Source organism: Homo sapiens, chromosome 19, assembly GCF_000001405.40.
Source record: "Homo sapiens chromosome 19, GRCh38.p14 Primary Assembly".
Lineage (NCBI taxonomy): Eukaryota > Metazoa > Chordata > Mammalia > Primates > Hominidae > Homo > Homo sapiens.
This window is the reverse complement of record NC_000019.10, coordinates 44,852,681-44,868,766: the sequence shown is the minus strand read 5'-3', so window position 1 is coordinate 44,868,766 and position 16,086 is coordinate 44,852,681. Positions and strand designations below refer to the sequence as shown.

The 16,086-nt window shown below is 49.5% G+C and overlaps 1 protein-coding gene across 3 annotated transcripts in view; it reads right to left on the bottom strand.

Moving 5' to 3' along the window:
- NECTIN2 (nectin cell adhesion molecule 2) overlaps positions 1–16,086 on the bottom strand; it is a 42,927-nt gene that overhangs the window by 20,457 nt on the left and 6,384 nt on the right. For all 3 annotated transcript variants that reach the window (NM_001042724.2, NM_002856.3, XM_047439169.1), the window contains exon 2: positions 3,107–3,496. In NM_001042724.2, the coding sequence (NP_001036189.1) occupies positions 3,107–3,496 (390 nt within the window). The remainder of the gene's footprint in view (positions 1–3,106; positions 3,497–16,086) is intronic.

The following is a 16,086-nucleotide window of genomic DNA, read 5'->3' as shown; positions in this document are numbered from 1 at the left end:
TAATTTCTTGTATTTTTAGTAGAGATGGGGTTTCACCGTGTTAGCCAGGATGGTCTCGATTTCCTGACCTCGTGATCCGCCCGCCTCGGCCTCCCAAAGTGCTGGGATTACAGGAGTGAGCCACCACGCCCAGCCTCAAGATTTAAAGAAAGAGCATTCGTAGCTGGATGTGGTGACTCATGCCTGTAATCCCAGCTATGCAGGAGGCGGAGGTAGGAGGATCCCCTGAGCCCAGGAGTTCGAGTCTAGCCTGGACAATGTAGTGAGACTTTGTCTCAAAAAAAGAAAAAAAAAAAAAAAGAAAAAGGAAAAGAAAAAAAAGCATCCTTCAAAAAAAATCTTCCCTGCCTTCTCTATTTTTGCCAAGTATCAGTCACCTTCCCGCTGGGAGTCCTATTTTTTTTTTTTTTTTTTTGAGACAGGGTCTCGTGCTGGAGTGCAGTGGTGCAATCTTGGCTCACTTGCAATCTCTGCTTCCCAGGCCCAAGCGATCCTCCCACCTCAGCCTCTTGGGTAGCTGGGACTACAGGTGTGTGCTACCATGCCCAGCTAATTTTTTTTTTTCTTGTAGAGATGGGGCCTCACCATGTTGCCCAGAGTGGTCTGAAACTCCTGACCTCAAAGCGATCTGCCCACCTTGGCCTCCTAAAGTGCTGGGATTACAGGCGTGAGCCACCGCACCAGGCCTGGGACTCCTCTCTGATCCTGCTTCCCCCTCAATCCATGGGCAAGCCCAGCACCTACTATCTTCTAAAAACACCACTATATGCCGCCCGCTTCCCTCTGCCCCCCACTGCCTCATCCGTCTTCCCAGCAATGCCTCTTCTCCCCTCTCGTCCCAGCTCCCTTCTACCTCCGTCCACTCCTCCAATCACTCCTCATACTGCTGCCGGTCATTTTTTGCAACCTCAAACGTTTGTCCAGATCTCTCCTGTGGCTTGACACCTCCCATGGCTCTTAACCATGCTGAGGGCATAGTCCAGCCTCCTCGCCTCCACCTGTGAAGCCCGTGTAATGTGGCCCCGCTGAGGGTCACCCAAGCCCTTGCCTATCCTCACCAGCCCCCTTTCCATTCCTGGAACGCGCCCAGCTCCCATCTCATGCCCACCTCCCAGGTTTCTGTGCCCGTGCCCCTCTGCTATGCCCAAAGGTAGCTCCTTCTCAGACTCCAGGACTTGACTAAGACGCCTTCCCTGCACATCCTATCTCAATGAGGCCACTATGTCCCCTACTTCTAAGCCGTTTTACTTCCTGCCCGGACTGGACTTGTTTTAAGACAGGGTCTCGCTCTCTTGTCCAGGATGGAGTGCAGTAGCACAATCACAGCTCACTGCAGCCTCAACCTCCTGGGCTCAGGTGATCCTCCCACCTCAGTCTCTCGAGTAGCTGAAATTACAGGTAAGTCACTGAGCCTGGTTAATTAAAACAATTTTTTTTTCTTTCCTGGCCAGGCTCAGTGGCTCATGCCTATAATCCCAGCACTTTGAGAGGCCCAGGTGGACGGATCACCTGAGGTCGGGAGTTCAAGACCAGCCTGGCCAACATGGTGCAACCCCGTCTCTACTAAAAATACAAAAAAATTTAGCTAGGTGTGGTGGTGGGAGCCTGTAATCCCAGCTACTTGGGAGGCTGAGGCAGGAGAATTGGTTGAACCTGGGAGGCGGAGGTTGCAGTGAGCCGAGATCGCGCCACTCCACTACAGCCTGGGTAACAAGAGCAAAACTCTGTCTCAAAAAAAAAAAAAATTTTTTTTGTCATTGAGACAAGAGTCTTACTATGTTGCCTAGGATGGTCTCAAATTCCTAGGCTCAAGGGATCCTCCCACCTCGGCCTCCCTGAGTGCTGGGGTTATGGGCGTGAGCCACAGCACCCGGCCCCACCCGGACTTTGTAGTTGCCTTACCCTGTGGTTTCTCAGCTCCCATTCTTTCCCCTCCCAACACAGCCAGGAGGAGCTGGTGAGAACCCAAGCCAGATCAAACCTGTCTGCTGCTAAGAACCTACTACAGCTCTTATCCTCCCTGGGCAAAAGCCAAAGGCTTCTTATAGTCCACAAGGCTTTTGCCAATCTGTCCCCATCCTCTCCTTGACTTTATTGCTTCCTACTTTCCCCCACTCATATGTCTCCAGCCACCCTGACTTCCTTCCTGGCCCTCAAATACTCCAGGTATTCCTGTCTCAGGGCCTTTGTACTTGCCATTCCGTCTGCCTGGAACGCTCTTCCCTTAGATACCCAGAGGGCTCCTCCTCTCCTAGTTTCTGCCTAAATATCCCCAGACCTCCTTAGCTAGAATTGCAACTTGGCCCTCTCCAACTTCCATGGCCCCTTTAACTGCCTGACTTACTCTTTTATTTATTTATTAGAGATAGGGCCTCACTCTGTCACCCAGGCTAGAGTGTAGTGGCATGATCACAGCTCACCGCAGCCTCAAATTCCTGGTCTCAAGCGATCCTCCCACCTCAGCCTCCCAAGTAGCTGGGACCACATCTGCGCACCACCATGGGCTCAAGCAATCTACCTGCCTCAGCCTCCCAAAGTGCTTGGATTATAGTCGTGAGCCACCACACCCAACCTCAATACTTTTTTTTTTTTTAGACCGAGTCTTGCTCTGTCACCCAGACTAGAGTGCAGTGGTGGCACAATCTCGGCTCACTGCAACCTCTGCCTCCTGGGTTCAAGCGATTCTCCTGACTCAGCCTCCTGAGTATCTGGGATTATAGGCACGGGCCACCACACCCAGCTAATTTTTTATTTTTCGTAGAGACAGGGTTTCACCATGTTGGCCAGGCTGGTCTTGAACTCCTGACCTCAGGCGATCTGCCCATCTCGGCCTTCCAAAGTGCTAGGATTACAGGGGTGGGCCACTGCGCCCAGCCAATACTTATTTTTTTGTTTTTCCCAAGAATGCCTGGTTGCCTGCCACATCCTCAGCACACAGAAAAGCATCTGGCACGCGGTAGGTGCTTAATGAACATTTGCTGATGGATGGAAACCCACAGAGAATGTGAACCTCACAGCTGAAGCCAAGAGAGAAACTGACCCGCAAGGGGATGCTCCCACACCGCGGCCCTCCCACCTCCTTGCCTCCCGCCCTTACCCTGCTCACCTATGACTCTGAGCCAGGTCATCCCTCGGACGGACCCCTTGGGGAAGGTGGCAAACTCGCAAGTGTAGTTGCCCTCGTCCTCCACCGTGAGCCCGTGGAGGGCCAGCGTGGCGTCCTGGAGCTCTGCCTCTGTGTCTTGCCCAGTGCTCTGCTTGGCAGAGACGAAGGACAGCCGCTCGCTGCCAGGCTTCGGGCTGGGGAAGCTGGGACCCATCTTAGGGTGGAAGGCGGCCACATTCTGGTGGTTCGCAGGTGCATCTGGGCGCTGCCAGGTCACCAGGGAGATGTACAGTCCAGGAACAGGTGGCAGCAGGTGGCACGGCAGCTCCACGGTGCCCCCGAGCTGGCCTCGCACCTCGGGTAGCACTTGAACTCGCACATCCTGGGCTCCTGGGCAGAGAGGACAGAGAGTGAAGTAGTCGGGTGGGGGAGGGACCCAGACACCTCCAGGCAGGGCCACCACGAAGGGGGCCCCACGGGAAATGCAGGCTCCGCATGCAACGTAGGCAGCTTCGCAGCATCCTGATTCCAAAAAAGCCACCTGGAAAAGACATTTTAGGGAAGACTAAAATGACTATTCTATTATACAACTATAACGTGTACTATGAGTTCATATTACATATGATTTTGGAATTGCTGTTCATGTTCCGAGGTGTGATAATTAAATTGTGGCTGTGCACACACTATTTTTCCCAGAAGATATGAAGTCGCAATGTCATGATCTCAAGTTACTCCTAAATGGTTCAGCAAAAACCAAAATATGTCACCCATTGTCAAGTGGGTCTAGGTGGAGAAGGTGAGGGAGGCTCCAGGCCATTCTTCTTTTTTTTTTTGAGACGGAGTCTTGCTCTGTTGACCAGGCTGGAGTGCAGTGGCGCGATCTCGGCTCACTGCAAGCTCCGCCTCCTGGGTTCACGCCATTCTCCTGCCTCAGCCTCCTGAGTACCTGGGACTACAGGCGCCTGCCACCATGCCTGGCTAATTTTTTTCTTTTTTGTATTTTTAGTAGAGATGGGGTTTCACTGTGTTAGCCAGGATGGTCTCAATCTCCTGACCTCGTGATCCGCTTGCCTCAGCCTCCCAAAGTGCTGGGATTACAGGCGTGAGCCACCGCGCCCGGCCACCAGGCCATTCTTACCTGTATTTGTATGTTTAAAAGTTGACATGATGGCCAGGGTAGTGGCTCAAGACTTCAATCTCAGCACTTTGGGAGGCCAAGGTGGGAGGAATGCTTGAGCCTAGGAGTTCAAGAACAGCCTGGGCAACAGAGTGAGACCCTGCCTTTAAAATTAAAAAAGAAAATAAAAAAATAAAAGTTTTCTTTTCTTTCAACTACATTTTTTTTCTCAGACAGGGCCTCACTTTCACCCAGGCTAGAGTGCAGTGGGCCACCCAGCTCACTGCAGCCTTGACCTCCCAGGTTCAAGCTGGGACTACAGGCATGTACCACCACACCTGGCTAATTTGTATTTTTTGTTTGTTTGTTTTGGTAGAGACAATGTCTCGCTATGTTGCCCAGGCTGGTCTTGAACTCCTGGACTCAAGTGATCCTCCCACCTCAGCCTCTCAAAGTGCTGGGATTATAGGCGTGAGCCACTGTACCCAGCCCACCCCAAAATTTTCATAAGATTTTTTTTTGGGGGGGGGGAATCCTCTGAAAATAAATCAATAAAAAAAAACTTTCATAAAATACATTTTAAAACATTTAAAGGCTGAGTATTGTCTTCATCCCCCCTCAGTAATATACTTTCTCTCACCTTCCTATGAAACCTACAGACCTCCTACATAGCATTTTTTCTCAAGTTTCTTTTTTTTTTTTGAGACTGAGTCTCGCTCTGTTGCCCAGGCTGGGGTGCAGTGGAGCAATCTTGGTCACTGCAACCTCCATCCCTGGTTCAAGGGATTCTTGTGCCTCAGCCTCCTGAGTAGCTGGGATTACAGGCGCCCGCCACCATGCCTGGCTAATTTTTGTATTTTTAGTAGAGATGGGCTTTCACCACGTTGGCCAGGCTGGTCTCGAACTCCTGACCTCAAATGATCAGCTCCCCCCTTGGCCCTAAGTTTCTATTTTTTTATTAAAATAAAAATTTTAAAATTATTATATTTTTAGCAGGTGCAAGTGCCAGTTTCTTACATACATATATTGCATAGAGGTGAAGTCTGGGCTTTTAGCATATCTATCACCTGAATAGCAAACAGCGTACCCAACAGTTAATTTTTCTTTTTCTTTTTTGAGACAGGGTCTCACTCTGTCTCCCAGGCTGAAGTGCAGTGGCACAATCTTGGCTCACTGCAACTTGAGTGGCTGGGACTGCAGGCATGTGCCACCAGTGCCCGGCTAATTTTTGTTTTTGTAGAGATAGGGTTTTGCCATGTTGCCCAGGCTGGTCTCAAACTCCTGAACTCAAAGTGAGCAGCCCGCCTCAGCCTCCCAAAGTGCTGGGATTATAGGCATGCACCAATGCACCTGGCTTCCAACAGTCAATTTTTCTTTTTTTTGAGACAGACTCTCGCACTGTTGCCCAGGCCGGAGTGCAGTGGTGTGATCTCGGCTCACTGCAACCTCCACCTCCCAATTTCAAGCAATTCTCCTGCCTCAGCCTCCCGAGTAGCTGGGATTACAGGCGCACACTACCATGCCCGGCTAATTTTTTTTTTTTTTTTTTTTGTATTTTTAGTAGAGACGGGGTTTCACCATGTTAGCCAGGATGGTCTCAATCTCCTGACCTCGTGATCTGCCGCCTCGGGCTCCCAAAGTGCTGGGATTACAGGCGTGAGCCACCGCGCCCGGCCAATTTTTTAATATTTTTAATAGAGATGGGTTTTCACTATGTTGGCCAGGCTGGCCTCGAACGCCTGACCTCGTGATCCACCCGTGTCGGCCTCCCAAAGTGCTGGGATTATAGGTGTGCGCCACTGTGCCCAGCCTCCAACAGTTAATTTTTCAACCCTCACCTGTTTCCCTCCCTCCCACCTTTTGTAGTCTCCACTGTCCATTATTCCAATCTTTGTGTATCTGCTGTTTAGATTCCACTTATAAGTGAGAACATGTGGTATTTGACTTTCTATTTTACTCAGGATAATGGCCTCCAGTTCCATCCGTGTTGGTGCAAAAGACATGATCCCATCCTTTTTTATGGCTGTGTAGTATTCCATGGTAGACATATACCACATTTTCTTTCTTTTTTTTTTTTATTGTTCCAGGATACATGTGCAGGTTTCTTTTTTCTTTTCTTTTTTTTTTTTGAGACGGAGTCTCACTCTTTTGCCCAGGCCTGAGTGCAGTGGTGCCATCTCGGCTCACTGCAAGCTCTGCCTCCTGGGTTCACACCATTCTCCTGCCTCAGCCTCCCGAGTAGCTGGGACTACAGGTGCCCGCCACCACACACAGTGAATTTTTTTGTATTTTTAGTAGAGACGGGGTTTCACCGTGTTACCCAGAATGGTCTCGATCTCCTGACCTCGTGATCCGCCGCCTCGGCCTCTCAAAGTGCTAGGATTACAGGCGTCAGCCACAGTGCCCGGCCTGTACATTTTCTTTATCCAGTCTATCCATGATGGGCATTTGGATTGAGTCCATGTCTTTGGTATTGTGAATAGTCCTGCAATGAACATACGCATACATGTATCTTTGTAATAGAATGATTTATATTCTTTTGGGTATATACCAGTAATGGGATTGCTGGGTCAAATGGTATTTCTGGTTCTAGATCTTTGAGGAATCGCCATACTGTCTTCATAATAGTTCAACTAATTTACATTCCCACCAACAGTGTAAAAGCATTCCTATTTCTCCACAACCTTGCCTGCATCTGTTGTTTCTTGACTTTCTGATAATGGCCATTTTGACTGGTGTGAGATGGTATCTCATTGTTTTGATTTGCATTTCTCAACGATCAGTGATGTTGAGCATTTTTTTCATGTTTGTTGGCTGCATGACTGTCTTATTTTGAGAAGTGTCTGTTCGTGTCCTTTGCCCACTTTTTTAGGTTTTTCTTTTCTTGTAAATTTGTTTAAATTCCTTGTAGGTTCTGGATGTTAGACCTTTGTCAGATGGATAGATTGCAAAAATGTTCTCCCACTCTGTAGGTTGTCTGTTCACTCTGAGGATAGTTTCTTTTGCTGTGCAGAAGCTTTTTAGTTTAATTAGATCCCATTTGTCAATGTTTGCTTTTGCTGCACTGCTTTTGGCAATTTCGTCATGAAATCTTTGTAGATATAGACCACATTTTCTTTATCCAATCCTCCATTCATCGATGGACACTTAAGTTGATTCCATATCTTTGCTGTTGTGGATAGTGCTGCAATAAACATACAAGCGCAGGTGTCTTTTTGATATAATGATGTCTTTTCCTTTGGGAGGATACTCAGTGGAATACTGGACCAAATGGTAGTTCTATTTTTAGTTCTTTGAGAAATCTCCATGCTGTTTGCCATAGAGGCTGTACTAATTTACATTCCCATCAACAGTGGGTAAGCGGTCCCTTTACTCCAAATCCTTGCCAGCATCTGTTTTTTTAGACTTTTTAGTAACAGACATTCTGACTGAGGTGAGATGGCACCTCATTGTGGTTTAAATTTGCATTTCTCTGATGATTAATGATGTTGAGCATTTTTTCATGTTTGTTGGCTGCCTGTATGTCTTCTTTAGAAAAATGTCTCTTCGGGTCCTTTGCTCATTTTTTACGTAGTTTTTTTTTTTTTTAAACAGCTTTATCGAGATATAAATTCTTACGCTACACAATTCACCCATTTAAAGTATACAATTAAGGCTGGGTGCAGTGGCTCACACCTGTAATTCCAGCACTTTGGGAGACCGAGGTGGGTGGGCCACTTGAGGTCAGGAGTTTGAGACCAGCCTGGCCAACACGGTGAAATACCCTGTCTCTACTAAAAATATAAAAATTAGCCGGACGTGTTCACTTGAACCCAGGAGGCGGAGGTTGCAGTGAGCCGAGATCGCGCCTCTGCACTCCAGCTTGGGTGATAAAGTGAGACTCTGTCTTGAAAAAAGAAAAGAAAAGAAAAAACAATATATATATATAATTTTTTTATAAAAAAGTAAAATAAAAAATACAGTACAATTCAGTGGCTTTAAGTATATTTGGAGTTTTACATCTGTTACTATAATCAGTTTTAAGGTATTATTTTTTGAGACAGGATCTCACTCTGTCCATGCTGGCGTGCAATGGCGCGATTTCTGCTCACTGCAAACCGTCTCTGGGGCCGAAGTGATCCTCCCACCTCAGCCCCCCAAGTAGCTGAGACTACAGGTGCGAGCCACCAAACCCAGCTAATTTTGTATTTTTTGTAGAGATGGGGATTCATCATGTTGCTTAGGCTCCTGAGCTCAAGCGATCCACCTGCCTCGGCCTCCCAAAGTGTTCGGATTACGGGCATGAGCCACTGCGCCCAGCCTGGGCATTTTTATAATTCCCTAAGTAACCCCCTTATCCATTAAGCAGTCACTTCCCATTCCCCCAGCCACGATGCAACTTTCTGTCTCTGTTGATGTGCCTGTTCTGGACATTTCATGTAATAGACTATGTAGCCTTTGTGTCTGGCTTCTTTCACTTGGCATCTTGTTTTCCAGGTTCATCCATCTGTAACACGTGTCGGCGCTTCACTCTTCTTTAAGGCTCAATAATATTCCACTACATGGACGGACCACATTTTGTTTATCCATTCAGCCGCTGATAGGCATTGAGGTTGTTTCAACTTTTTGGCTCTGATAAATAAAGCTGCTGGGATCATGCAAGTTCAAGTTTTTATGTGGACGCATGTTTGCAGTTCTCAGCCAGCCTAAGTGGTTTCTCACCTTTTTTTTTTTTTTTTGGAGACGGAGTCTTGCTCTGTCACCCAGGTTGGAGTGCAGTGGCACGGTCTCAACTCACTGCAACCTCTGCCTCCTGGGTTCAAGCGATTCTCCTGCCTCAGCCTCCTGAGTAGCTGGGATTACAGGTGCGAGCCACTACGGTCCGGCTGATTTTTGAATTTTTAGTAGAGACCAGAGTTCACCATGTTGGTCAGGCTGGTTTCAAACTCCTGACCTCAGGTGATCCACCCGCCTTGGCCTCCCAAAGTGCTGGGATTACAGGCGTGAGCCACGGCGTGTGGCCCATGTTTTCTCACTTTTAATATAAACAAGAACAAGAACAAATCTTCCTCTGCTGTGCACGGCAGTACAGCATGGCGACTGAGTGGCCCATAGTTCATGGGTTTGAATCCTGGCTCTGCGACCTTGTGCAGGCCACTTAACCTCTCTGTGCCTCAGTTTCCCCAGCTGTGATGTGAGGTTAATAATAGTGCCTGCGTCCCAAGGGCTGTTTAAAGATTAAAGAATAGCTGTGGAACACTCAGCATAGGGCCCCAGGAAATGAGAGGTCAGTGCTTGCTAAGTAAACATAGGAAGCTCAGTTTAATTACAGGTGGCCTTGGCACTCAGCCCCCAGGCCAGGAAAGGCCAGGGCACAAGCCTCATTTCGAGGGCCAACACCACTGCCCAGCTCTGTCTGATGGAGATGGGCCATGGAGGCGGTGCACAGGCCCTGGCGTCATACACACAGGAACCCCAGGGAACACCATCCTAATGAGTAACTCTTATGAGGGGTCCCCGGTGGAAGGCAGTCCCCTTGGGTGGGGACAGGCCGAGGATCTTTGGGTAAGAAATCATCAGTAAATTATAGCAATACAAGAACAGAAATTAAAAATAAAATAAGGCCAGGTGTGGTGGCTCACACCTGTAATCCCAGCACTTTGGGAGGCCGAGGCAGGAGGCTCACTTGGGGCCAGGAGTTTGAGACCAGACTGGCCAACATGGCAAAACCCCATCTCTACTAAAAATAGAAAAATTATCTGGGTGTGGTGGCAGGCACCTGTAATCCCAGCTACTCAGGAGGCTAAGGTGGGAGAATTGCTTGAACCCGGGAGGTGGAGGTTGCAGTAAGCTGAGATCATACCACTGCACTCCAGCCTGGGTGACAGAGAGAGACTCGGTCTCGGGAGGGGAAACAAAAAGAAAAGAAAGAAAGAAAAAAGGCTGGGTGCTGCGGCTCATGCCTGTAATCCCAGCACTTTGGGAGGCCGAGGCGGATGGATCACCCTGAGGTCAGGAGTTCGAGACCAGCCTGGCCAATATGGTGAAACCCCGTCTCTACCAAAAATACAAAAATTAGCTGGGCGTGGTGGCGGGCCCCTGTATTCCCAGCTACTTGGGAGGCTGAGGAAGGGGAATCACTTGAACCCAGAGACCTCGCCACTGCACTCCAACATGGGCGATAGAATGAGGCCCTGCCTACCTTAAAAGAAAAAATGTAAATAAATATAAAAAAAAAAGCCATCAGCGAAGACTGAAGTGTGACATAAATACATCATCTCCACACAAGTCCCACAAACTCAGGTGTGTCACTTGGGGGAAACAAGTCAAACAAACTCAGGTGTGTCACTTGGGGGAAAAATGAGGCTTTTCCAGTCCAGAGGGGCCACCCCCACCCAACTTGAGAAAAGAAAAATAGCTCAGATCAGTCTGAGCTATGCGAAATGTATCAGGCCCAGGGAGACTGTACAGTGAATAGGGGACTTCGGTCACACGCCTCCTCCACCCATGCCCGAGGCAGTGGTTCCTGCACAGCTGCCCTCCCCATTAGCTTCTTGTTCCTGGAATTTGTGATACAATAAACAGTGCATAGCCAATCAATACCTTCTGTTATCTTTTTTTCTGAGCCAGACCTGCAGATACCTTATGCTGTTTCAATGTAAATTCTTGGTAACAATTTAGGAACTCTCTCTTCTTTGTTCCTTAAAAATCCACTTGCAGACTGGGTGCGTTGGCTCATGCCTGTAATCCCAGCACTATGGGAGGCCGAAGTGGGTGGAGGATCACTTGAGGCCAGGAGTTTGAGACCAGCCTGGACAATATAGTGAGACTTCATCTCTTAAAAAAAAAAAAACAAAAACAAAAACCCGGCACGATGGCTCACGCCTGTAATCCCAGCACTTTGGGAGGCCAAAGCAGGTGGATCACCTGAGGTCAGGAGTTCGAGACCAGCCTGGCCAGCATGGCGAAATCCCATCTCTACTAAAAAAATAAACATTACCCGGGCATGGTGGCAGGTGCCTGTAATCCTAGCTGCTAGGGGGGCTGAGGCAGGAGGATTGCTTGAACCCGGGAGGTGGAGGTTGCAGTGAGCAGAGATTGTGCCACTACACTCCAGCCTGGGCAATAGAGCAAGACTCCGTCTCAAAAAAAAAAAATAGCTGGGCAAGATGGCTAGGGCCTGTAGTCCCAGCTACTAGGGAGGCTGTGGCAGGAGAATCACTCAAGGCCAGGAGCCCGAGAAACTGACGCTGCAGTGAGCCATGATCACACACTGCACTCCAGACTGAGTGACAGGGTGAGACCCTGTCTCAAAAAAAAAAAAAAAAAGTCCACTTGTAATCACAGCTAGTCAAAGGGTTTATTTGGGGCAACTTGAATCCACACTCCGGGGTGGCCATCCTCAAGCTTTAGGCTTGAATAAACTCTATACTTAATCCTATTTTCTGAATCTTGTTATTTAACGCTGACACCCTTTCCAGCTGGCAGCCTTGTCTCCAAGCCCAACTTCCTCCATCTGTAAAATGGGGATGTTTCAGCCACCCTCCAGGGTCCCTTGTGCCAGTTCCAGGGAAGGACTTGCTCATGGGGGATGTTCACGGGGCGTGGCCCAGGTGAGCAGAGCAGCAGGGGTCAGCCGCCTGCTGCAGGCCAGATCTGACTGTGGTGCATGTTTGCTTTGGCCCACAGAGTGTTATTTCAGTTGGGAAGTAGCAGCCCACACAGAAGGCCTGGAGATTGCTGTCTAAAGCTCCAGACAGAAGTCCGGATATGTGGCTCCTGGGGGCAACAGCTGGGTGGGGCTGAGGAAGGACATCACCCCCCTCCCACAAGGCACACTCCCTTCCGGCTCCTCCAGATTCCCCAGGTGCTGGGACTTATCACCCGCCTGGCCCCCAAAGGCACTAAGGTTGGGATCAGGGTGGTTAAGCGCTCTGGCCCCTTCCTAGCTAGGCAAGGGGGGAAGGCCACTCAATGAGGGTCAAGGAAAGCCATTTGGGCCTGTGTGAACTGCAGAGACAGCAAAGTAGGCTGGGGCCGAGGAAGTTAGTTTCCTCTTTGTGGCAAGTGGGAGCCGTTGCGGGTTCTTCAAATAGAGAATGACTTAACTTCATCCAAGGAGGCCTGAGGGGAAGGTGGTGGGCTGAGCAGAGATAGATGACCAGACAGCAAAATGACACAAAAAGTTGGCAATGAAAAGAACAAGAGGTTAAGACTGAGACTGAGTGTTGGGGAGGAGGCTAATAGGTCTTAGGATTTTATTTTTTTGAAACACATTCTCGCTGTATCACCCAGGCCAGAGTGTAGTGGCGCCATCTTGGCTCCCTGCAACCTCTGCCTCTGGGTTCAAGCAATTCTGCCTCAACCTCCCGAGTAGCTGGGATTACAGGCATATGTCACCACACTCAGCTAATTTTTGTATTTTGAGTAGAGACAGGGTTTCACCATCTTGGCCAGGCTGGCCTCGAACTCCCGACCTCAGGTGATCTGCCTACCTTAGCCTCCCAAACTGCTGGGATTATAGGCGTGAGCCACTGTGCCCCACCAGGATTTAAAATTTTAAAATGGAAGGGATTTGGTAGTAGGGAGAGAGGGAGGGATCAGGAAAAGGCAGAACCTGGAAGAATCTGGCTGTTCTTTCACATCTTATAGGTCAAATCCAAAAAACAAATAGTTACTCAACAAACAGGTCCTGGGTGCTAGAGGGTCTGCCCTCTCCAGCCCTGAGGTTTGTCTGTGTTTTTCCCCTACTGTATCCCCAGCACCTACAACAGGGCCTAGCATGTAGTAGGTGCTCAGTAAACACTGCCAAGTGAATGAATGTTGCTAAGTGTGGATGCTGCAGAAGTAACAGGACAAATCAGGTGCTTGTTTTCCAGGGTTGACATCCAGATTGCAGGGGGTACAAATATTGCACAAATAATTATCACCAAGAATGCCTGGAAGACGGAGTAGGGGTGGTATGGGAGGAACCTGAAGAGGCTTGACCTGTCTGAAGGAGGGAGGGACGATGAACGAAAGAAGAGCTTCCTGGAGGAGGAGACCTGAAAAGCTGAGCCCCAGGTCCCTGGAGCCCCACACCCTTCACCTCCTCCAAGTCCCTGGGTCTCTGGGATTCAGAGTTTTTTTCTTTTTTTTTTGAGACAGATTCTCACTCTTTCGCCCAGGCTGGAGTGCAGTGCCACTATCTCGGCTCACTGCAACCTCCGCCTCCCAGGTTCATGCCATTCTCCTGCCTCAGCCTCCCGAGTAGCTGGGACTACAGGCGCCCGCCACCACGCTCTGCTAATTTTTTGTATTTTTAGTAGAGACGGGGTTTCACCGTGTTAGCCAGGATGGTCTCGATCTCCTGACCTCGTGATCTGCCCGCCTCGGCCTCCCAAAGTGCTGAGATTACAGGTGTGAGCCACTGCGCCAGGCTGACTCAGAGTTCTTTTTTTTTTTTTTGAGACGGAGTCTTGCTCTGTCACCCAGGCTGGAGTGCAGCAGCGCGATCTCGGCTCACTGCAACCTCCGCCTCCCGGGTTCACCCCATTCTCCTGCCTCAGCCTCCCGAGTAGCTGGGACTACAGGTGCCCGCCACGACGCCCGGCTAATTTTTTTAGTAGAGATGGGGTTTCACCATGTTAACCAGGATGGTCTCGATCTCCTGACCTCGTGATCCGCCCGCCTGGGACTCCCAAAGTGCTGGGATTACAGGCGTGAGCCACCGCGCCCGGCAACTCAGAGTTCTTTTTAAAAAAATTTTTTTTGAGGTGGAGTCTCACTCTGTTGCCCGGGCTGGAGTGCAGTGGCGCAATCTGGGCTCACTACAGCCTCCGCCTCCCCAGCTCAAGTGATTCTCCTGTCTCAGCCTCCCAAGTAGCTGGGATTACAGGCATGTACCACCATACCCAGCTAATTTTTGTAATTTTAGTAGAGATGGGGTTTCGCCATGTCAGCCAGGCTAGTCTCGGACTCCTGACCTCAAGTGATCCACCCGCCTCGGCCTCCCAAAGTGTTGGGATTATAGGCATAAGCCACTGCACCTGGCCAGATTCAGAGTTCTTGACTTAAGGAGCAGTCCTGTGGCTTCCAGGGGCCCAGATCTTCCTTCTAAGGGAGGCTCCCCTCCAATCCTCCATTTAGGATGGCATCTGAGCACTACTGGATTTGGAGGATTAAAACAAAAAAACCGACTTTAGGATGGGGCGGTGGCTCAAGCCTGTAATCCCAGAACTTTGGGAGACCAAGGTGGATGGATCACTTGAGGCCAGGAGTTCGAGACCAGCCTGGCCGACACAGTGAAACCCTGTCTCTACTAAATATACAAAAATTAGCTGCATGCCTGTAATTCCAGCTACTTTAGGGAGAGTCGCTTGAACTCAGGAGGTGGAGGTTGCAGTGAGCTGAGATTGCGCCACTGCACTCCAGCCTGGGTGACAGAGTGAGGACTCGGTCTCAAACAAACCCACCACTTTTAGCTTCTTGTGGGGCACACTCCTCGGGGGGTTCTTTTACCCCGAGATACTCCACCTCAGCTGCCACCTCCTCTCCCCTCCCTGGTTGACTGCTCTTCCGCCCTTTTGCCCTGTTACGTTCTCTGTCTGCATAGTGCTTCTCACCATCTCACACACTAGATATATCACATCCTCCTGGAAACTGACTGCCAGCGCCACGAGGGCAGGGATCTTCTGTCTGTTTTGCTCACAACCTGTACCCTCAGTATCTGCAAGAGAGATTGGTACCTAGTAGATGCTCAGTACTTGCTGAATAACGAATGAATGAGGTTCTAAAATCCCTGGGCGCAATGGCTCACGCCTGTAATTCCAACACTTTGGGAGGCCGAGGAGGGCGGATCACGAGGTCAGGAGTTTGAGACCAGCCTGGCCAACATGGTGAAACCCCGTCTCTACTAAAAATACAAAAATTAGCCGGGCGTGGTGGCGGGCCCCCGTAATCCCAGCTATTCAGGAGGCTGAGGCAGGAGAATCACTTGAACCTAGCAGGCGGAGGTTGTAGTGAGCTGAGATTGCAGCACTGCACTCCAGCCTGGGGGACAGAGTGAGACTCCATCTCAAAAAAAAAAAGGGCCAGCTGTGGTGGCTCACGCCTGTAAACCCAGCACTTTGGGAGGCCAAGGCAGGCAGATCACGAGGTCAGGAGATTGAGACCATCCTGGCTAACACGGTGAAACCACGTCTCTATTAAAAATATAAAAATTAGCTGGGCGTGGTGGCAGGCCCCTGTAGTCCCAGCTACTCGGGAGGCTGAGGCAGGAGAATGGCGTGAATCTGGGAGGCAGAGCTTGCAGTGAGCTGAGATCGCGCCACTGCACTCCAGCTGGGGGGACAGAGGGAGACTCCGTCTGAAAAAAAAAATCCCATTGCTGTAAGTTCCCCATTCTGAATTTCTAATTCCAAATGAATGAATAGGATAGTTCAGGCCCTGTGGGGTTAACATTCCTTTTTTTTTTTTCTGGGATAGGATCTCACTCCGTTGCTCAGGGTGGAGTGCAGGATCCCAGCTTGCCGCAGCCTCAACCTCTTGGGTTCAAGCAATCCTACCACCTCAGCCTTCTCAGTAGTTGGGACTACAGGCGGGCACCACCATACTTGACTAATTAAAAAAAATTTTTTTTTGTAGAGAAGGGGTCTCACTGTTTGTTGCCTAGGCTGTTCTCAAACTCCTGAACTAAAGCGATCCTCTTGCCTTGGCCTCCCAAAGTGCTTGGATTACAGGCGTGAGCCACCGCGTCCTGCCTACAGTCCATTTTTAAGGCATTTTCACCTCTTTCTCTCTCACCTCATAAGCAATCTATCAGGAAACCCTGTCACCTCCTTCTTTGACATTTATCTAGTTAGACCACCTCTGACGCCTCCCCAGTCCCTGCCCTGGTCTAATC